Source organism: Homo sapiens, chromosome 15 (assembly GCF_000001405.40).
Source record: "Homo sapiens chromosome 15, GRCh38.p14 Primary Assembly".
Lineage (NCBI taxonomy): Eukaryota > Metazoa > Chordata > Mammalia > Primates > Hominidae > Homo > Homo sapiens.
The window spans coordinates 60,166,415-60,189,021 of record NC_000015.10 but is presented as its reverse complement, the minus strand read 5'-3'; the positions used below and the strand labels follow the sequence as shown (position 1 = coordinate 60,189,021).

The 22,607-nt window shown below is 40.0% G+C and overlaps 1 long non-coding RNA gene across 1 annotated transcript in view; it reads right to left on the bottom strand.

The window, feature by feature from the left end:
- The window catches only part of LOC105370839 (uncharacterized), an 89,243-nt gene extending 67,118 nt beyond the window's left edge, over positions 1–22,125 (bottom strand). The window contains exons 1-2 of the long non-coding RNA XR_932310.3: positions 21,949–22,125; positions 8,527–8,702 (exon numbers count right to left, since the gene is read on the bottom strand). This is a non-coding gene — a long non-coding RNA (uncharacterized LOC105370839). The remainder of the gene's footprint in view (positions 1–8,526; positions 8,703–21,948) is intronic.
- Positions 22,126–22,607: the final 482 nt, after the last annotated feature.

Genomic DNA, 22,607 nt, shown 5'->3' with positions numbered 1-22,607 from the left:
CTAAATATGATCTCAGGGTCCAACGCAGCTGTAGCTTTAGGAACAGACTAGAATGGGTTCTCTCTGTGTGGTGATGTTTACAAAAACATTTGTTCTTGGCTAAATAAATCAGGTTCAAAAATCTCTCTGTGTATATTGTCTTTCTTTGCAGTTGCTAGTTTTACGGTGAAAAAAGGTGTTTTGAGCGGACAATTTTAATCTTTTCATAAATGAGCTGTCTGTTTTTTTTTATTATACTTTAAGTTCTAGGGTACATGTGCACAACATGCAGGTTTGTTACATATGCATACATGTGCCATGTTGGTGTGCTGCACCCGTTAACTCGTCATTTACATTAGGTATATCTCCTAATGCTCTCCCTCCCCCCCTCCCCCCACCCCACGACAGGCCCCAGTGTGTGATGTTCCCCACCCTGTGTTCAAGTGTTCTCATTGTTCAATTCCCACCTATGAGTGAGAACATGGGATGTTTGGTTTTCTGTCTTGGAGATAGTTTGCTCAGAATAGTTTCCAGCTTCATCCATGTCCCTACAAAGGACACGAACAATGAGCTGCCTGATTTTAAAGCAAGTCAGTAAGTACTTCTTATTCACCCTCCAAGAGAATGATGATTTCCCTGTTTCTGAAGTGAGCAGTTTTATTGTCTTAAAAGAGAAAAATGGGGAGTAATTATGATATTGATATAAGATTTGAGAAAGAAGCACATATGAATTGTGAATTGTGGCTAAACCAGTGTAATAGAGCTGTCTTGATAGTCATAACGTAGTAAACAACACTGGTCAAAGGTAATTATGAAAAATAAATAAGAATGGAGACCATTTATGGTAGAGTCCTATGTAATGATGCATATTTTACTCTGCTGTTTAGACAAATAGTGAATTCAGAAGTTTATGCATTTGAGGAGAGGCTATTTAAAAAGAGGTTGTATATGAATTTTGCACAGGTTTTGACTTTTTTTTTAGTCTAGACCTATCTTTTGTTTATTCTTACCAACATTCCCAGAGTGTTTTATATTTGCAAAGTGCTTTACGCTGGTTTTACTAGTTATTCCCAATGATAATACACACCTGACCTCATTCTATTGTTTAGGTGAAGTTAATAGGCCTCAGAATTCAGTGAGTTGATGGCTCCATCTCTGGCTTAATTAGACAGTTTAAGCTCTAATTGGCTGGTGGTAAGTCAATCAGTTAAAGAGTTGCACATTCACTCCCTGGGAATTGTGGGAACGATTGGTCCAGGGGGCACCAGACACTGCAGGAGAAATCACTCAGAGCAGAACCTCCCGTCGTCCCAAAGGGCCATGGCAGGTGATGTCCATCAAGGGAGGGTCAAGTGCGCGGGAGGCTCAACCTTTTCTGTGTGTAGAGTCTGAGGAAAAGCAGATCACCCTGTCCCCAGTGCTACAGAAGGAAAACATGTTAAACATGTTGCTCACCAAGATGGAGACAGAAGTGACTGTGAACTAGAACAAAGGCTGCCTTGGAAAGGGAGGCAACGGCAAGTCAGAATACCCAGGTGTGATGATGAGACTGCTGTGGGATCAAGCATCCTGGGATGTGGGCATCAGAGCCAGCATAGACCTGCAAATTCTGAATCTACGGGGCTATGAGTTCCTTGAGGAAAGAACTGTGTGTCCTTCAATTTTTGTATCCCTTATAGCAGCAGTCCCCAAACTTTTTAGCTCCAGGGACCAATTTCATGGAAGACAATTTTTCCATAGATGAGGGGCTGTTGGGGGGATGGTTTCAGGATGATTCAAGCACATTTATTTTGCACTTTATTTCTATTATTATTACATTTTAATATATAATGAAATAATGATACAACTCACCATAATGTAGAATCAGTGGGAGCCCTGAGCTTATTTTCCTGTAACCAGATGGTCCCATGTGGGGGCGATGGGAGAGACAGTGACAGATCATCAGGCATTAGATTCTCATAAGGATTGCACAACCTAGATCCCTTGCATGTGCAGATCACAGTAGGGTCCATTTTCCTATATGAATCTAATGCCTTCACTGTTCTGACAGGAGGTGGAGCCCAGGCGGTAATGTCAGGGATGGGTAGCAGCTATAAATACAGATGAAGCTTTGCTTGCTCACCCGCCACTCACCACCTGTTATGTGGTCCAGTTCCTAACAGGTCACGGACCAGTACCAGCCTGTAGCCTAGGGGATTAGGGACCCCTGCCTTATAGTGTCTATCCCTGGGCTTCGTATGCTGTATTTACTGAATAAATACATGAAAACATGTATTCCAGTAGTGAATAAACCCTTGCTCAAAACCTATTTTTTTTATATGTTTAATATTGGCCACATGAATGGTCATCTACTTTATCTTATTCTCTGGCCTTGATTATAAGGTTTTTCCCAAGTCAGCCCATTCCTGCTGGAATATGCACAAGAATGTGTTGCATCATTCTATCCATGGATGGATTCTCAGGGTGCCCACCTTGAAGGGGAGCATGGATATTTAGTTGCATAAATTCTGATATGTGTGAAATAAGCCAGCCATGGCACAATGCTCATAAATTTTGATGATCGAAAATGGCTACATGCAGTTTCATTATGTATTCTTTCCATGTCTGTGAATGTTTAAAAATTGCTCCTATTAAAAACTTAAAATAATCAGCCACATATCTTCTATTTTCACCTTGAACAATTTGATTCATAGACTTGTAGGGCTGCCAAATACTGTGAAGGCCATTTAGTCCCTATCCTTGTACTCTGCTGAAGAGGAAACTGAAGATACGATAGTAAAGGACTTCCAAAAGTTAATTGTAACAGAGCTGATGCAAGAAGCCAACCATCATAAGGGACTTAATTTTTTATGGCTGTGGCTATTTCAGGGATGGCACCTTTGGTGTTATTTCAAATGTGTGAGTGAATAGCTGGGAAAGCACTCTAGTCAACATTGCAGCCCTCTGGTGTACCACACAAAATGAGGCAGCTGTCATAATAAGTAAATTTAGAAGTGAAAGTGAGCTTAAATATCCGGATAATTGAGGGAAATGGTTTTTAATGTAGTCTCGAGTTTTCTTCTAGTTGATTTTAGGATATTAGATTGAGATGGTTTATAACACCCAAAAGTCCCTATGTGATCTGGATTTCGCCAGCCTTTCAGAGCTCTTCTGACCTTTTCCTCCTCCTTCACTACAGTCTAGCTTTTCTGACTGTTGAATACGCCATGATTGTTCCCACCTGCAGGTCTTTGCACTTGCTATTTCCTCTGCCAGGAACTGTCTTTCTTCCATATCTTTACAAGACTAGGTCTTTCTCATTATTACTAATTTTTTAAATAGACTTTATTAATTTTTTTAGAGATGGGGTCTTGCTATGTTGCCCAGGATGGTCTTGAACTCCTGGTCTCAAATAATGTGCTCCCTTCAGCTTCCCAAAGTGCTGAGATTACAGGCATGAGTCACTGTACGTGGCTTAGACTTCATTTTTTAGAGAAGTTTTAGGTTCACAGCAAAATTGAGGGAAAGTATAGAGAGTTCCCATCCATCTTCTGCCCCCAGACACGCAGAGCCTCCCCACTATCAACATCCTGCACAGAGTGGTACATTTGTTAAAATCGATTAACCTGCATTGACACATCATCATCACCCAAATTCCATAGTTGACATGACAATTCACTCTTGGTTTTGTATGTTCTATGGGTTTGACCAGTGCATAATGACATGTATCCACCATAATGGTATCATACAGAACAGTTTGACTGCACTCAAGATCCTCTGTGCTCTGCCTTATCATCCCTCCCTTTCCCTAGCCCCTGCCCATTAATTTTTTAATCTCTGTTCAGATATTTCCTTCTCAGAAAAGCCTATCCTCAGCAGCGTGGCTAAAATAGCAACCTCTCCTCACCCTAGTCATTTTCTACCCCTTATCCTCTCTTATTTTCTCTCTAGCATTTACTAACACCTGAACATATTATGTCAATTTGGTTATATGGGTTTTTCCTACCTCTGTCCATTATAAGGTCCCTGAGTAGAATATATTGCTCACTGCTCTAGCCCCTGGCTTCTAGAATAGTTTCTGGCATATGGTAAGTCCTCAATAAATATTTGTGGAATGTATCAATCTACTGAGTTTCTTTAACGTGCCAGGGACTACACTGGTGATATGAACGTGAGTTAGGTACGACTCCCTCCCGAGAGGAACTTATTATTTAGAGGGGAAGCTACAATGTGATCAGGCAAGTGCCGTGACTCAGAGTGTTGCTATGAGAATCCAGTCAAGGGCTGCCTAAGTCAGAGTGGCGGAGTCAAGGAAGCTTACCCAGAGAAAGTCACACTGAGGTTAAGACTTGAAGGGGAAGGAGGACTTAGGCCGGGGAGTGAATGTTGTCGGTGCCCTACCCTCCCTGCTGTGGCATCCACCATAATGGTGTTCTCAGACTCAGCTGCTTGTCTGAGGGCTCTCTCTCACTGGCAGGCTGGCAGGGCTAGGGAGTTAAGTTATCCCATCAGAGCAGCCCACAATCCATGACTGATGGGAGCAAATCAATAAATACCCCATCCTCCCACTGGGAGGTCCCCCGGGGGGGTTGTGCCTCAGTCGCCCACAGTGACAACCTGCTTAGTAATGCTCACATTACTGGTTTCCTTATCTTCCCTGTCTCTGCTTCTGAGATCACCTCCAAAATAAGTTACTTTCCCTCAAATCCTTGTTTCAGGTTCTTCTGGGAGAAACCAACTTAGGATGTCTGACAAAGAAAAACAAAGCAAGGGCATTCTGTACAAAGACAACAGCTTTTATAAAAGGCCCAGACTTGTTTAGCAAATAATAAGAGATTAATTGTGAACTAATTGTGAGTGGCAGGAAATGATAGGAGATGAAGCTGGAGAAATTTGGACTGGCTCATTTGCCTCTTGAATGGGTTTTTCTAGGAAGAGTCATGGCGGATTTCCAGTCATGGTTCTCGCTATGTGAATAGGAATATATATATATATATATATGTATGTATGTATACATCATGGGTTTTTATAAGTGATGAGATCTACAGTTTTGGAATAGAGTAAAAACACCTAGTTTGTGCTGGGAATTATACCCATAATCTCGTTCACCTTCAGATTCATCTTCTCATCAAATGTACTAATTAGACACACAGTAGTAATACAGGCAAATCACAATTTCATCTGTGAGAATAAAACAACAGTTGACGTAAAATACTTTGTACCTTGATCTGGAGTTTGGGAATCAAGACCTGAATAGCCCGTCAGGAACAAAATGGCTTGTGCTTTGGCCTTCCCCTGCCGCCCGGCAGATCTGATGGAAAGAAACTATCTGTGGCTTCCAAAATGTTTTTGGTCCCCACGTCCCTGACCTCCTGCCGTTTTTGAAGGGGAATCTTCAGAGAAACCCATGCTACATTTAACTTTGGGAGCTCTCCTGTGGGCTTGTGTCTAACCAGACACTGCCGATCTGAATATTTCCTGCATGCTAAGCAGACCATTGTCAGCCGCTTCCTCTAGGTTAGATTGTTATAAATGCTGTTTATGATCCTGCTATGACAACTGTGAAGGACATGGCAAAGAATTTATCACAGGATTATTCATCCACCAGCAGAATACCTAATAAGATTCTAAATGACCCAAGATGATAATAAGATCTAGCTTGTAGCAATAAGGTATTAATAAACTGCTTTTTTCAATAAGGGAGAGTCCTGGCATCATTACCCTGACATATTTGTTTTGCTTATATTTTGCGAACAAAGTAGGGCTGCTGGATTGAATAGGAAATTTATAAAAACTCCTGATGTATGAAAAATACAACCCACATGAAGTGGAACCCATAGGTTAAAGTCAAGAAAACAGCATTTGCCTATGACATCTGAGTGCCAGACTCCCAAGCCATCGATTCTAATTGTTCCGTGCCGTTTGCCTTTGTATTTAAAAATTATATAAGAATAATATATTGCCCGCTGTTGACCACAAGGCCATAATTCAAATGAAGAAATTTAGTAAAATCACAAACCAGGAAAGTGCAGTGTGTATGAATAATGGATGAAGCGGGAACACTGAATTCAAAATGAAAGCTGAGATTCTGCCGGATGTTCCTGTTTTGAAAATAAAACTATTTGGTAGTAAGTTAATAAAAAATGAATTCTGTTCATTGTCACTCAACTATTCCTAGAGAGGGCAAGTGGCAGAGATTCGAGAACCTGCTGTTAGTCATTTTGTGAATACAGGAACCAGAAAAGTTAGCTGCTCTCTCAGAGATGTAACTCTGTACCACCTTGATTTTTACCTTTCTGCTTTGTAGCTTCTCTCTGCAACAATACTGCACAAGGACAAGGCCCCAAAAGCTGAAAATACTTTTACTGGGAAAGTGGCCCTGTGCCTTGGAAGGTTTTTTCTAGTGGATTAAATTTAGCAGAGCAAATATCAGCGCTGAAGTCAGCAGTTTTTTTTTTAATTGAGGTATAATTTACGTACAACGAAATGTGCAGTTCCTGAGTGTAGATAGGTGGAAATTTTTTGACCAGTGAATTTCTGTGTAACTGTCAAAATGTCTGTGGAACCACTCAAAACAAGTTTCGGGGCTGGGCATGGTGGCTCGCGCTTGTAATCCCAGCACTTTGGGAGGCCGATGCAGGTGGATCACCTGAGGTCAGGAGTTTGAGACCAGCCTGGCCAACATGCTGAAACCCTGTCTCTACTGAAAATACAAAAATGAGCTGTGCGTGGCGATGGGTGCCTGTAGTCCCTGCTACTCGGGAGGCTGAGACAGGAGAATCGCTTGAACCCGGGAGGCAGAGGTTGCAGTAAGCCAGGATCGCACCACTGCACTCCAGCCTGGGCGATAGAGCGAGACTCTGTCTTAAACAAACAAACCCCACAAATTTTGGAACATTGCCATCTCCCTAGAAAGTCTCCTGGTGCTTCATTCCTGTTATTACCACCTTCTTCGCCAGCCCCAGCAACCGCTCTTCTGACTGCTATCACCACGGATTAGATTTGCTTGTTGTTGAACTTCAGACAAATGGAAACATACAGAATACTCTCCTGTGTCTACATTTTTTTGCTGAACATAATATTTTTGAGATTCATGTCATTGTGTGTATCAACTATTGTATCAATGTGTATTATTCCTTGTTGCTGTCTGGATATACCACTTTGTATTTATCCATTCTCTTGCTGATGCACATTTGATTGTCTCCAGTTTGAGGCCATTATGAATAAAGCTCCCATGAACTTTTGGGTATCAGTCTGTTTTTATTAACTCAGAATGGATTATAGACTAGATATAAATGCTAAAACTACAAAAGTTCTAGAAGAAAAGGAAGTCTTCATAACCCTGGCGATGAACAAAATTCCTTAGATAAGACACCAAAAACATGAACTATAATAAACAATTTTTAAATAGTACTTCAAAAAAAATTAAAAAGTCTGCCCTTCGTGTACAAGTGCTTTTGTGGACCTGTGTTTTCATTTGTTTTATGTAAGTACCTAGAAGTGGGATTACTGGGTCATGCGGTAGATGCATAAGAAGCTGCCAAATGGTTCTTCAGCATGTTACTCCGTTTTATACTCCCACCAGCAGTGTGTGAGCGTTCCAAATATTTCATGCCCTTGCCAACACTTAGTATTGTACAGTTCTCTTATCTTGGCCATTCTCATGGGTTTGACCTGGCAGCCCATTGTGGTTTTAATTATCAACAATGTTTTAAAACTTAAAAATAACCCAACAGGTTAGACTAGCAACTGACTGGATTTGTGTTGAGATTGGAATCACAATTTCCACATTTGCTTTTGTGTGAAGTCCACACATCAATCATTGAGAGCTGAATAGTTTGGTCATTGCACTTTAGACCACCAGGTCAACTTCAAATTGCCTTTGACCACATTTCTTCAGTGTTTACCTCCAACTCCAGCTCCTTTGCCAATCGTTTAGTCATAACTCTTGAAAAAATGATTTAACATAGTTAAGTGTTCCACCTGACTGGTCTAAAAGGCACATGACAAAAATGACCCAAACCTTACGGGAAATGGCCCAAATTATAAAGAGTATTATTTTCTTTGTAGGACAAGCTATGCAGGGGTTCTACAACTGCCTTTCTGTTGTAGAAGTAGATTGCTCAAAGCCTGCACTGGGGCACTGGTTTAGAAGAATGCCTAATGGACATCTCAAGAAATTCTGGACATTCTCAAGAAATTCCATTCTGGACCCACATTTTTCCAACTAAAATAAAATTGCTGTCTGCTACCTATAGGTTATGGCATTTGCTGTCAGTGAATCTCTTGACAAATACAATAAGAATTTTACCTTCTTCTTTTCTTTTTGACCATCAATTTTTAAAAATAGAAACTTCTAATTTTGGAATAATTTTAGACTTACAGAAAAGTTGCAGAGAGAGTACAGAGAGTTCCTACGTATCCTTCACTAATTTTCCCCTAATATCAGCATCTTATATAATAACCATTTTACCTTCTTTTTAACACAAATTTATATACTTTTAATCCACCTTGTGGGATGTATTTACACATGGATGGATCCTAGTGAGTTGTAACTGGAATACTTACATTCCTTCTTTCTTTTCCTTGTGGACCATAAGAAAATAGCATTGTTTTCCAGGAGGGATACCTTCAATGTTCTTTAGGACAGACTTCATGTTACTGATCTTCAAAAAGCTGCCATTGCGTGATGTACTGAGAAGGCCAGGAAGCCTCCTGGTGTCTGATGGTTACACTGCTCCGCTCTAAAAAAAAAAAAAAAAAAGTGGCTGAAGGCTGTTCCCTTAATATAAATTGCCCTTTCTATGTGGTGTGACCTTGTAGCCCTGGCCACAGCTGATGTCCTGGATATTGATACCTGTCACAAAGGCACTTAGCTATAGGCTGAGCATAACAAAAATGCTGATGACACTGTAGTGATGACAATAACAACAGCAGACATTGATTGAACATTTACTACAATCAACTTTATGATCTACAGAATACTTCTTACAGCTTAATACTTTTGTTAGGAAAATGACCCATGGGATATACAACACATACCTTCATTATCCTGTTGGGGTTGCTATGCTCTGCCACTAGGGGGTAGTATCATTGCTACTGTCTTATATCCACCAAATGCAAATTCTGTTTGCACTTTTAAAATTCTTTCTAGGTCCATTTTTTTCCCATTTAAAATGAATATACATGATCTTCCAATTAGTTTATACAGTAGTTTGAATAATTTAAGAAATGAACCTGGTGTCTCATAAATGCTTCAAAAGAAGTATAGGGACAATTTTCTTTTCTCTCTCTTGACTCCATTATTTTATGTCTTCATTAATTATTCTACTTGTAATAGTCTTACTTGTTACAAAAAGTGTCTACTATCAGTAATAAATTATTAGTACATACTTTCTGTGCTTTGCACTTGCCTATAGCGCACTGTCTTTTAACCATTTATATGAGCGGGGACATTTATATGTTCAGATACTTTGGGAGGGAGGGGAAATGCATCTCATATATTGGGGGAACATGGCATAAGACACGCACTCTGACCTCAAGAACCTTACAGTTTGATTGTGGAGATGAAATGTAGACTCATCAGATTTAAAGCACCAATGTTAAAATCTCCCAGCACTGTGGAGAATTGATCAATTTCTCCTTGTAATTCAGCTAAATTTTTTGCTTCATATAGATTGAGGCAATGTTCTTTGGTTCTTTCAATCTCATGATTGTTATATCTTCTTGGTGAATTGGTCCTTTTTTTTCCTCATATACTAATGACTCTTCTTCTAATAAGAATTTTTCCCCTTATTTTTTTTTTTTTTTTCTAATCTTAGTCTTTAAAAACTTTCTTTGGATTAGATTTGACTCATACATGTTTTTCCAATCATTTCTTTTCAACTTATTTGTGTCATTGTATTTCATACTTGTCTCTTATAAACAGCATATAACTAAATTATTATAAATTTAAGAGGCCAAGTGTGGTGGCTCACACCTGTAATCCTAGCACTTCTGGAGTCCAAGGCAGGGGGATTGGTTGAAGCCAGGAAATAGGAAAGCCTGAGGAGGGGGAGACAGATGGAGGAAAGCTAGCATGGCTAGCCTGGGCAATATAGTAAGATCTCATTTCTACGAAAAAAAAAAAAAAAGAACATTTAAAAAATTAACCAGCCACTGGCGCTTGTGCCTGTGGTCCCAACTACTTGTGAAGCTGAGGTGGGAGGATCACTTGAGCCCAAGAGTTGAAGGCTGCAGCAAGCTATGATTGTACCACTTGCACTGCAGCCCAGGTGACAGAGCAAGACCCTGCCTCTAAAAGAAAAAGTTAAGAATATCTATTCTTAATTGACTAGCTTGGTCCATTCATGATTTAAGCCATAATTTCTTTGGACTTTTTATTCAACAACTTTTCTTGGCTTTTTTTTTTTTTTCCTCCTTCACTGGCTTCCCTTAGATAGACTGAATTTTCTTTATGCCCCACCCCCCTCATACTGCTTTGAAAGTTATATATCTACTTCTTACTTTTTAGTGGCCATTCAATTTTTAACACATATACTTAGAGTTGAAATTCAATACTTCTTCCCTTCTCTCAAATAATACAAGAAACTTTGTACCCAAAGGTCTCTCTCACCATCTTGGATATTTTTCCCCTAGGATTTTGATTCTTCCTTGGTTAAAACTTTGTCATCTTTACTATTTTTCAGTGAGTATTTTTTTTAGATTTGCCTCACAATTTCTTGCCTCACTATTGCTCCTTGCAATGCTATTCCTTCATTCTGGGTTCAATTGTCTTCCTCCTACAATACATCCTTTAGCGGTTCTTTCAGCAAAGGTGGTGAACAGTAATGTCTCACAATCTTTATCTGATTGTAATATCTTTACCTTGTCAATCTACCTGAGTGATAATTTTGCTGACTTATTTTCTCCTCAGCACTTTGAAGGCATTATTCCTTTGTCTTCTGGTCTCTCTTTTTAAAAAAAATCTTCATTGGATTATGGCATTCATATAGAAAAAGCACACCCATCATGGATACACGTAATGAGCACATGTAATCAACAAGGAAATGTAATCAGAACTAGGTCAAGAAACTAAACATGGCCAGCACCCTAGAAGCTCCCTCATGGCCCCTGCCAGCCGCTAGTCCCCCAGCAGTTAAACACTATCCAGATTTCTACCAGCACTGATTACTCTTGTTTTAGTTTTTAATTTTGGTGATGACAAATCTGCCAGCCAGGCACGGTGGCTCACACCTGTAATCCCAGCACTTTGGGAGGCTGAGGCAGGCAGATTACCTGAGGTCGGGAGTTCAAGACCAGCCTGACCAACATGGTGAAACCCCGTCTCTACTAAAAATACAAAATTAGCTGGGTGTGGTGACGGGCACCTGTAATCCCAGCTACTTGGGAGGCTGAGGCAGGACAATCGCTTGAACCTGGGAGGCAGAGGTTGCAGTGAGCCGAGATTGCGCCATTGCACTCTAACCTGGGCAACAAAACTGAGACTCCGTCTCAAAAAAAAAAAAAAAAAAAAAAGAAAAAAAGAAAAATCTGTCACCAACCTAATCTTTATAGTTCATCTGTCTTTGTTTAAGATTTTATTTTTGAAGATCTGCAGTTTCATTAGGATGTATATAGCTGTGGATTTTTCTTTGCCCTGCTTTACTTTCTGTGTTTCCTAAATCTACGGATCTGTTTTCATAAATTCTGGAAAATCTCACCCATGATCTCACTGAATATTGCTTCTCTTTCATCCTTTTTACTCCTTCCTTTTGGAACTCCTAAGAAACGTATATTGAATCTTTTTATTCTATTCTGCATAACTTTTAGCTTTTATATTTCCTATCAATTTTTCTATGCTGCATTGTGGTTAATTCCCTGATTTATCTTTCCTTTCATCGATTCTCTTCTGTTGTATCTGTTATGTTATGGATTGAATTGTGTCCTCCAAAAATGTTACATTTAAGTCCTAATCTTAGTATCTCAGAATGTGGCCTTATTTGGAGATAGGATTGTTGCAGAGGTAATCAAATTAAAATGAGGTCGTTAAGGTGGCCCTAATCTACTATGACTTGTGTCCTTATAAAAAGGGATAATTTGGACACAGAGGCATGCCCAGAGGGAGGACTATGTGAAGAGGCATAGGGAGAATGCCATGTGAAGATTGGAGCTTTGCTGCAACAAGCCAAGGAACTCCGGGGGCTAGAAGAAGCTGCAAGAGACAAGGAAGGAACTTCTCCTTTCAAGTTTCAGAGGGAGGGAGCAAGACCCTGCTAACATCTTGATTTTGGGTTTAAAAAAGCGTCTAAAAGTACATTTCTGGCAATACATTTCTGTTGTTCTAAGCCACCCAATTTGTGGCACTTTGTCATGGCAGCCCTAAGAAACTAATACATTATTTATTTAGTTTTAAATTCACTGTGTTTTATCAATTTCCAAAAGTATGACATGATTTGTTTCCAAATGTATTTTTTATTATAGGGTGTCTTGTTCTTGTATCGTGGCTTCAAATCTTTCTTTAATATCTTTAGTTATTTTATTTTTAATTTTTCGGAGATAGGACCTTGGTCTTTCACCCGGGCTGGAGTGTAGTGGTTCAGTCGCAGCCCACTGCAGCCTCAACCTCCCAGGCTCAAGTTATCCTCCCACCTCATCCTCCCGAGTAGCTGGGACTACAGTCATGTGTCACCACACCAGACTAATTTTTAAAATTTTTTGTAGAGACAGGATCTCACTATTCTGACCACGCTGGTCTCAAACTCCTAGACTCAAGTGATCCTCCCACCTTGGCCTCCCAGAGTGCTGCGATTACAGGTGTGAGCCACCATGCCTGGCCTACTTATTTTAAATATACTTATTTTTATTGCTGGTTTCAGATTGTTCTATTATCTTAAGTTATTAGTGTATTACCTTCCTGTTTGTTATATCTGCTTACTCTTTCTTATAGAGAATTATTTTCTTTTGTGATTTGTAATTTTTTTCTTTTAAGTATTAGCTTAGCAGGAGTTTTCTCCATCTTGGGGATGTTCCATGCTCCTGGGGTTGTGAAAATGTTTCTACAGAGTAGTTTTACATTTCTTATGATGGGCATCTCAGTGGTTTTATTGGTATGCATCCAGTTTTTACTTTAATTTCTTCACTGAGATTTCCTTACAGGTGGATAATGTGAGTTTAGACCCTACACCTGCATGGTCAAATAGACTTGGGGGTTTGATTTCCCATAACTGACTTTCTTTACCACTTGGATCTGGGAAAAGACAAAGTTCCTTTCTCTTCCCTTTTTGCTGTGCCTTCTAGGATCTTGATTTCATAGCCGGTTGTCAGTTCTAATTCCCCACCTTGCGTAGGCCTTCTCCACCTCTCCTGTTGCTGAATGGGTGTTTCAACCCCAGCCCCTGGTCTTTATGGCCCAAATCTAGACCCACACCTTGCTGAGTCCCCAGAGCGTGAGTTCACAGATGACACCATGGCAGCTCTGGCTGTTGTTCCTCCTCATTTCTTGTACCTGGGAATTTCTATTTTATTCTCTCTTTCTCATTTTTTCTTACAAGTTTGGTTCTGTTTCAGAAACTTTTTGCTACATTTCCCCCTGTATTTCTCTGCGCTTTTAGAAGTAAATTGAAGCTGTGTTTGTGCAGTCTGCCATTTCACTGGAGCAGAAAGCCAGGACAAATGACTGACATTGAATGTTTGTGCAGAATGGGCAGTACAAGCTGATAGAGGTTTTCAGGAGGGAGAAATTCACTGAGGAATGGGAACAGCTGAGCACTGAGGAATGCTAGGTAGAGTTCAGGTAAGGGAAGGGTTAAATGTTTTAAAAATATTTTAACATTTCAACTAGATTTGGGGTTCTATATAAAGACAAGGCCATGCATCTAATGTCCAGCATGATCATATGCACATTAAACATTCTTATATTCTGCAGATTGACAACTTTTCTCCTCTGTCTGTTCTTCCCTATGCCTTTGCCTTTGTAGAAACAAAACTGTGCTCTGCGAACCACAGGAAGCCAGGTTTTTGTAGGAATCACCACATGGCTTCAAAACCTTACCGTGCTGACTTAGTCCTCAAGGCAGTGGATGGCTATGAATAAAGAAATTAGATGGTGTTCCTAGAGTGCTTAAACCTGTAGTGAATGGAGAAAGAAGGCTCAAGTCAGAATTTTGGTTTTTAATTTTTAATTTCATCAACTGTGACTTCGTTGTCTGAAAAGACTGTGGGTAGCAAATCTCTCGCTCTACTTTGGAAATGCCCTCAACACCTACTAAAGTGGAGATATCTACTTAATCTAACTCCTAGAATTAGCTTAGGTAGATCAGATCACAATCTAATCTTTGTAACTATAGGGTAGTTACAAAGATTAAATGAGAAAGCAGAAGTGAACATGCTTTAGAATAAAAATATGTTTTATAGGACAGGCAGCAGACTCTAGAGGCTCAGAGCACAGACGCCAGAGGCGCACTGAGTTTGAAGCTCCAGCTCTGCCTCTGACAAGCTGTTATAATTTAAATCTTTGTCTAGTTTCCTCATACGTAAAATGTGGTTAATAACAGATGTACCTCTTAGGGTTGTTGTGGGAGTGTAATGAGATAATATTGCCTGATATGTAGTAAGTTCTCAATGAGTAGTAGTTTTAATTACATTCCTTGATATTGTCATCTGTATAAGAGGATTAATCTTAGGTCCAGGAACCCCAAGCAAGGCTAGAAATAAGATTGCAGTGTTTGAGAACTCTCTGAAACTGTCCCCCAAATTTTGTGTGTATGTGCATTTGTAGTGGAGTGGTGCATTTTTCTTGAGCAAAAGTCCATTTTTACCATCAGATTCTGAAAAAGATATGCCACCCAAAAAGTGTTCAGAAGCACTGATGTTTGAATCTAGGACTTTGTTTCAATCTAAGGACTATAGAGCTGCATAATCTTATGCATTCCAGATAGGCTCTATGGCCCCTGGTTAGTTCAATAAATATTTATTTTTATTATTATTTTTATTATACTTTAAGTTCGAGGGTACATGTGTACAATGTGCAGGTTTGTTACATATGTAAACATGTGCCCTGTTGGTGTGTTGTACCCATTAACTCATCATTTACATTAGGTATTTCTCCTATTGGTATCCCTCCCCCCTACCCCTACCCCACAACAGGCCCCAGTGTGTGATGTTCCCCTTCCTGTGTCCAAGTGTTCTCGTTGTTCAATTCCCACCTATGAGTGAGAATATGCGGTGTTTGGTTTTTTGTCGCTGTGATAGTTTGCTGAGAATGATGGTTTCCAGCTTTATCCATGTCCCTGCAAAGGACATGAACTCATCCTTTTTTATGGCTGCATAGTATTCCATGGTGTATATGTGCCACATTTTCTTGATCCAGTCTATCACTGACGGACGTTTGGGTTGGTTCCAAGTCTTTGCTATTGTGAATAGTGCCACAATAAACATATGTGTGCATGTGTCTTTATAGCGGCATGATTTATAATCCTTTGGGTATATACCCAGTAATGGGATGGCTGGGTCAAACGGTATTTCTAGTTCTAGATCCTTAAGGAACCGCCACACTGTCTTCCACAGTGGTTGAACTAGGTTACAGTCCCACCAACGGTGTAAAAGTGTTCCTGTTCCTCCACATCCTCTCCAGCATCTGTTGTTTCCTGACTTTTTAATGATCGCCATTCTAACTGCTGTGAGGTGGTATCTCATTGTGGTTTTGATTTGCATTTCTCTGATGGCCAGTGATGATGAGCATTTTTTCATGTGTCTTTTGGCTGCATAAATGTCTTCTTTTGAGAAGTGTCTGTTCATATCCTTTGCCCACTTTTTGATGGGGTTTTTTTCTTGTAAATTTGTTTGAGTTCATTGTAGATTCTGGATATTAGCCCTTTGTCAGATAAGTAGATTGCAAACGTTCAATAAATGTTGATGAAGAGCTGGGCCCTGGTCCGTGGTGGTCACTCAGCCATGCAGGAGCAACACCTTTGCCCAGGTAACTCTGTCTGTACCTAGAAGGGAAATGGTAACCTCTTGAGGGACTCAAATGAGAATTCAGAAAATCACTCTGATGTTTTTACCATCACTGTCATATCTTCCTTTATGGGCAATTTTACTGAAAGCCAAGTCAACTTTATCACTAAGGTGGTCCATGAAAGTATGGAAGGTTTACTTCAAGCTTTTCTTTGGGGGAAGTGTAAAAATTTCCCCTTTCCCATGAAGTGACATGAGAGCCTTTTGTTATTTCCAGTGAAAACGGAAGGTCAGGAGATTGGGAGACCTTGGTGAAGTATCCTAACATACATGATGGAGAACTCCTCAAACTTCACGAATTTTAAGAACCATTAGATTGTTTTCTTCTGTTCTTTGAACTTGCATTTGCATTGACTCAGCTCAGGCATTTAAACAGATTTAGAAAGACTTCCAAACATGTAAATGTCAAACTTTATTTCTTTTTAATGATGTGTGTCATCTAAATAGTGATGCCATCAATAGGGAATGTTGTATTTTTGTTATTTTCTTACCTTTTGCTCTCAGATGCCTTTTAACATATGTAAAAATATTTATATAGTGTTTCAAGTCTGCAGCATTCAGTACAGAAATGCTCTTTTCAGTTCTCCCTTTTGGTAATATCATATTTAACTCAAAAGAAGTCATAGGCATATTGGGGGCAGATAGTTGGTACAAATCTGACAAAAAGCTAATGAGCTCTCCTGTGATTATCAGGGAGGACGATGACTCATTAAATCTCATTTCCTGGGCAAGTCCACATAGGGAGAAGAAATTAACTGAAATAAAGGCCTGAGAACCTAATGCAGTCAGATTTATGGGCATCTGTATAAGCAGCCACATGATAATCAGAGCAAATAGTAAAATGTTTTAATGAGTTTCTGTGAAATATTTAATGGGTTACTCTATGATTTTTTTTTAAAGTTTGGTTGCTTTCTATTGGAAATTGGCTCCTTAGAAGGGAGGGTCCTGAAACCAAGTGGGGGTGTCTTTTGGTTGAATTCCATCCAAACTCTGGTTTCCCTACATAGACCTTCTTTATGTATATGTGTTAAACACTGTCATTGATATTCACAGCTATGTTGAAAAGAGGGTCAGGACGGTTAGAATCCATAAATACTTCTCCTTTTGGTTCAAAAGTATGTAAGTATCTGCTTAGAATTAATCCTCTTTCAGGTTCCTTACAGTGCATCATTTTTCATTCTGAGGGTTTTCCGCTGCTTGGAAGAAAATTTTCCAAAAGAGGGCAAACCATAAGCAAAATAAAGAAAAGACTGCAATTTGGTTTTGACAACTTAACTTCCCTTTAAATGTCCATTTTCACCTACTTTGTATTTCCTTTATATTCCTCAACCTTGGGTACTGGTAGCTTTCAAAGCATGCTTTAGTTAAATGACAACAGCTTAAGTTACTGCTTTTCCTAGTGACTCAACGGGGACTCGTAAATGCAAATAAATTAATTTATGGTAGGAGAATTTTAGATGTCATAATGGAGTGGGTGGGTTCATGATACCTGGAAGGTCTCAAATTGCACTCATTCATCAGGCCAGCCTTGTTGCTTGACCATCTCATATAGATCGGCCCTTACAACTCTGTTGGAGGAATGTCAGTTGACTGGTGAAGAGATATTAAGAAGTGGTCTGTGTGATGCCTGTTGCTATATGAGTGGTTGTCTCATCACATAACCTCATTTGGGAACCTCATCCTGAAACAAGAGATCACTCTCAGTTTTATGTTCTTTACCCAGCCTTGGTATTTCTAGATTCTATCCATGTCATCTAATTCTAGACTTGGAACTAAGACCCATGCTTTCTGCCATAACCATGGAAAGAAGGATCTTCTACAGGTATGATTTATTTTTAAAGGGCCATGGGCAGGATTCCTAATGGGAAAATCATCCCAGACAAACTTTTGTTAGCAAAGGTGGGTGTGCCAGTGCAAAATGTCCAGATGATTTAGACTAATTCATGTCCCAACTCATGTTCACATTAGACATCCAGTATTTGAGGCTATTTATCTTTTAACATCACAGTTACCTAAGAGAACATATTAGGGCAGACGATGTCAAAAGAAGGGGGAGAGGTATGTAGGGATCTCAGTTCACAATGTGAAAAGTGAATGAGTGAAAGTATCATATCCTCTTGACTCAAAAGTGTACCTTAAGAAAATGAAGTTAATGTTTTATAGTTCATAAAATCATGTTACAGTTCATAAATATGCTTAATATAGTATTTTGTTATTTTCTTCCATACTCTCCATGATTAAATACTGTAATCAATATTTCCTTAGAGTTTAGGAGATACCATTCATTCCTTCTAGGCTAGAATGTCTTATTCACAACTTCTTGATTGTATTTTAGCTTGTAAAACCACCACCACTAAATCTCTTCTATAGCTGATGAGAGGAAGGCCAGGCAGCTCTTTAAAAAATGAAAGTATTTAAATTGGAGAAAACCCAGCTTAAACATGGCAAGTGGCTGAACTGAAGCTGTCAAGGCCAAGCTGTTGTGAATGGGAACCTAACTCAAGGTCCTGTGGCAGACATCAAGTTAAGGGTGTATCCAAAGTTAGAGGCCAGGGCAGTAAAAGACAATGGACAAATTCAGAGTAACACAGGTTTCAGAAGCAGAATTTGTAAAGAATGCTGGGAGCAAAAGTGTTAACTGTGAAGGAATGGGATGATTGGGGAAAGAAACTTAGACATTCTTACTTTTAGGCTGGGCATGGTGGCTCATGCTATAATCCCAGCACTTTTGGAGGCTGAGGCCAGAGGATTGCTTAAGCCCAGTTCAAGACCAGCCTGGACAACATAGGGAAACCCTGTCTCTCCAAAAAATAAATAAAATTAGCCAGGCATGGTGGCACATGCGTTTAGTCCCAGCTATGCAGGAGACTGAGGTGGAAGGGTTGCTCGAGCCTGGGAGGTGAAGGCTGCAGTGAGCTGTGAATGTGCCACTGCACACTCCATCTTGGGTGAAAGACTGAGACCCTGCCTCAAAAATCAAAAAAATTCTTACTTTTAATTTGTGTGCTTCAGGTGCTATTTTATAATGAGCTTATAATTTTTTAATTTAAGAAACTATAAAAATAATTTAAAAGAAAAAATATACCCCAGAAGTAAAAGTGGCTTGCAACTGCTGAGGTGCAGGCCTGGCAAATCTAGAATAACTTATTAAGACAATTATTAGCAACTGCCCTACTTCTATATGCCCATCCTACAACTCTCTGTCTCTTGGGCCTGCCCCTGACAACATGGGACCCAGACAGTCTCTCATCGCAATAAGACTCCTCCTCCAGTGATTCCTCAAGCAGTGATTGAAGGAAGCGGTCTACCTGTAGGCCATACAGACTACTGGATCAAAAAGCACCCAGGAGGAGTCAGTGGTTGAGGTTTGCCTTCTGTAAACCTGGAAGGTTACATGGCTTGTTGCATGCTAATGGCAGAGAGGAGAATCAAATGCCCTGTTATATGAAAACAAATATTAATTTTCCCATTGCCGTGGTCTGAGTGCGACCCCAAAATTCATATGTTGAAACTTACTTGCCAATGTGATAGTATTAAGGGGTGATTAAGTCATGAGGTCAGAGCCCACATAAATGGGATTAGTGACCTTATAAAAGAGGTGCTAGGGAGCTGTTCATGCTTTCTGCCATGTGAGGATGCAGCGACATGGTGCCATCTATGGAGCAAAGGGGGAGGACTCATCAGACATTGAATCTGCCAGCATGCTGATCTTGGACTTTCCAGCCTGCAGAACTGTGACAATTAATTTCTATTATTTGTAAATTACCCAGTTTAAGGTATTTTGTCATAGCAGCCAAAACAAACTGAGACACTCATGCTTTAAGGCCTTTGGTCAGTGTCTACCTGGAAAGGAGCCTTGTTTGCCCTCAAAGGCCAAGAACTGAGAAAGCTAGACATCACTAATGCTCATGTTTCCTCGTGCCATGTCCAGGCAAACCAAAGGGGAAAAAAAATCTTTCTTTCCCTTCTCTTTCATGTGCATGGCACAAGAAAATGAAGGTATGTGGAGGCCCATTTGTGGTCAGAAGTGTATAAATCTTGTGTAAATCTAGATTCATGATTTAAGTGAAAGTGGGGAGGGGATGTAATTGAAACTACCAATGCTATTTATTTCTATTCCAGGAGGATGTTGGTCCACAGGCTGTACCTTCAGTTCATTTGAATTCCTGGTTTTCAGTCACCTCCATCCATATTGCATCTTCTTTTCTTTTATTGTCAGCTACTGCTTATTCCTAAGCATCCTTTTTACTTGAAATACTTCTGTAGGTTTGAAATCTAAGTCCCGGAAACAAGGGTGGCTGTTTGGGTGTGTGTACATTTTTTAAAGTAGGCACTGTTTCTGAGTTGAAACTGACCTGTACATGAGTAAAGAATGCAGTGATTTAAACAAGGGCCAGTAATTTTGCCTGGGCCTCAGGTGGCAAAAAATTTTGAAAAATAGTATCCTCGTAGGAATAGCCAGCAATGACTTGATGGTGGTATTCTTCTCCTGGCTCACATCCCTGCCTTACTGAGAGTTGGAGCCAAATGGGTATGGGGTGGTGGGTGAACGTTAATGAAACATTACGAGTCCCTGGCAGCAACCAGCAGAATCACAGAGTTGCTTTACTGTGTGCTCCTGTTCACCTTACATGTTTATTTTTTCCCTTCAGACTTCAGTGGTTTTTCCAGTGCTCCCCTTTTGAAAAAGATTGATGTGGCTGGCAATGGCGAGGGGATTAACATGAATAACAAATTATTCTTACACGTTTGAAGTTATAGGCCTATTATACTTGCCCTTTAGGGAAACACTGGGCTTTACGAAGCTATTGTTATTCTCAACAAATTGCAATAATTATTAGTGCTACGAGTTGGGTTCCTCGGTTTAAGCTTAGCATATACAAATCATCTGTGCCTTTTGGGAAGCTCCTTTCACTACCTGATTCACAGAGAAATGAGCTGCATGGGATAGGGGAGTATTTCCCAACCCTAAAATGTCCAACTAAGCTTTTTTTTTTTTTTTTTTTTTTTTTTTTTTTTTTTTTGAGAAGGAGTCTCGGTCTTGTTGCCCAGGCTAGAGTACAATAACGTGATCTTGGCTCACTGCAACCTCCACCTCCCGAGTTCAAGCAATTCTCCTGCCTCAGCCCCCGAAATAGCTGGGATTACAGGTGCTCAGCACCATGCCCGGCTAATTTTTCTGTATTTTTAGTAGAGATGGGGTTTCACCATGATGGCCAGGCTGGTCTCCTGACCTCAAGTGATCCGCCCGCCTCGGCCTCCCAAAGTGCTGGGATTACAGGCATGAACCACCACGCCGTGCCGCAACTAAGCTTTAAACTGTCTAAATATTTTGCATGTTAGACCTCAGGCGTTACAAAGAAGAGATGGGTAAAGAAAACCTACAGAAACTGTATTTGTTCATGAGGGGGTGGAATAGAGAGTGTGTGCACCAGATAGAAATAGTTTGCCCTGACAACCCACAAGAATGGTGGTTAGAAAACAGAGACTTAGAAATAGCATCAATGTAGCTTTTTAAGTGGCGGGTTAAGATCTCCAATCAAGTCCAAATCAATTGTGTGACTATAATAACTATATAATCTCTCAGAGCGATCCTTTGCTCATCTTTAATTATAGGTATAATAAAATACTGCAGTTAGAGAAGTAAATATAATAGCAAAAGTTTCTTACTGTGTACATGCTTTTTATAACTATTTTTTTTAGTACTGCTAATACTGGCTTCCCTGCCTCTTATATTTCAATTTCTGATGATAGTCTTCAAAAAGAGAGCCCTCCAATGGGCGGAATAAAGCCTCTACATGGAAGAATATGGGTCAAATCAATATAATGCATTGTATTCAACACTTATTTGAACAGCCGGATTGAAACCACAGCAGCACCAATAAGTAGCTGTGTGACTCCTAGAAAGTTACTCACCAATACAACGCGTCAGTTTCTCTGTCAACCAACAGTACCTATTTCAGGGTTGTTGTGAGAATCAAATAAGGTAGTTACCTGCAAAGCTCTTAGAAGAGCACTGCGAAGTTATTATCTCAGCATAACAGGTCTCCAAGTCTCCTGGGAAGCTGCACAGGTTCCATGGTGATAGGATGAGAACACACGCGTTTCTGTCTTCTTAGGAGGTGCTACTGTTCTTCCCAGGGGCGGGGTCCACTCCTTTCTTAGGGGCGCCATATTGGCATTATCAAAATGGTTGTGTTGGTCCATTTCTGGGAGGATGCTCATGTGCTCTATCTTCTTTATGAGCAGGCTGTTCTTCTCTCAGGACAGTGACTATCGTGGACTAGCTGCCTGAGTTACAACACTGTTCACGATTTTGCCATTAACAAGAAATTCTAAACCTCTATATCTCAGGGGGTCACGTCTCCTTCGGTGGGAAACGAGCAAGATTCATTTCCTTTCCCCATTACCAAATGGGGAAATTTCTGATGGAAAGTAAGTGAACGAATTAAAATGTGGTAGAATTAAGATCAGATATTAAGATTATTCTGGGTTTTTTTTTTTTGTTTGTTTGTTTGGTTGGTTTTTTTTTTGTTTTTTGAGACGGAGTCTCGCTGTGTCACCCAGGCTGGAGTGCAGTGGCGCCATCTTGACTTATTGCAAGCTCCGCCTCCCGGGTTCACGCCATTCTCCTGCCTCAGCCTCCCGAGTAG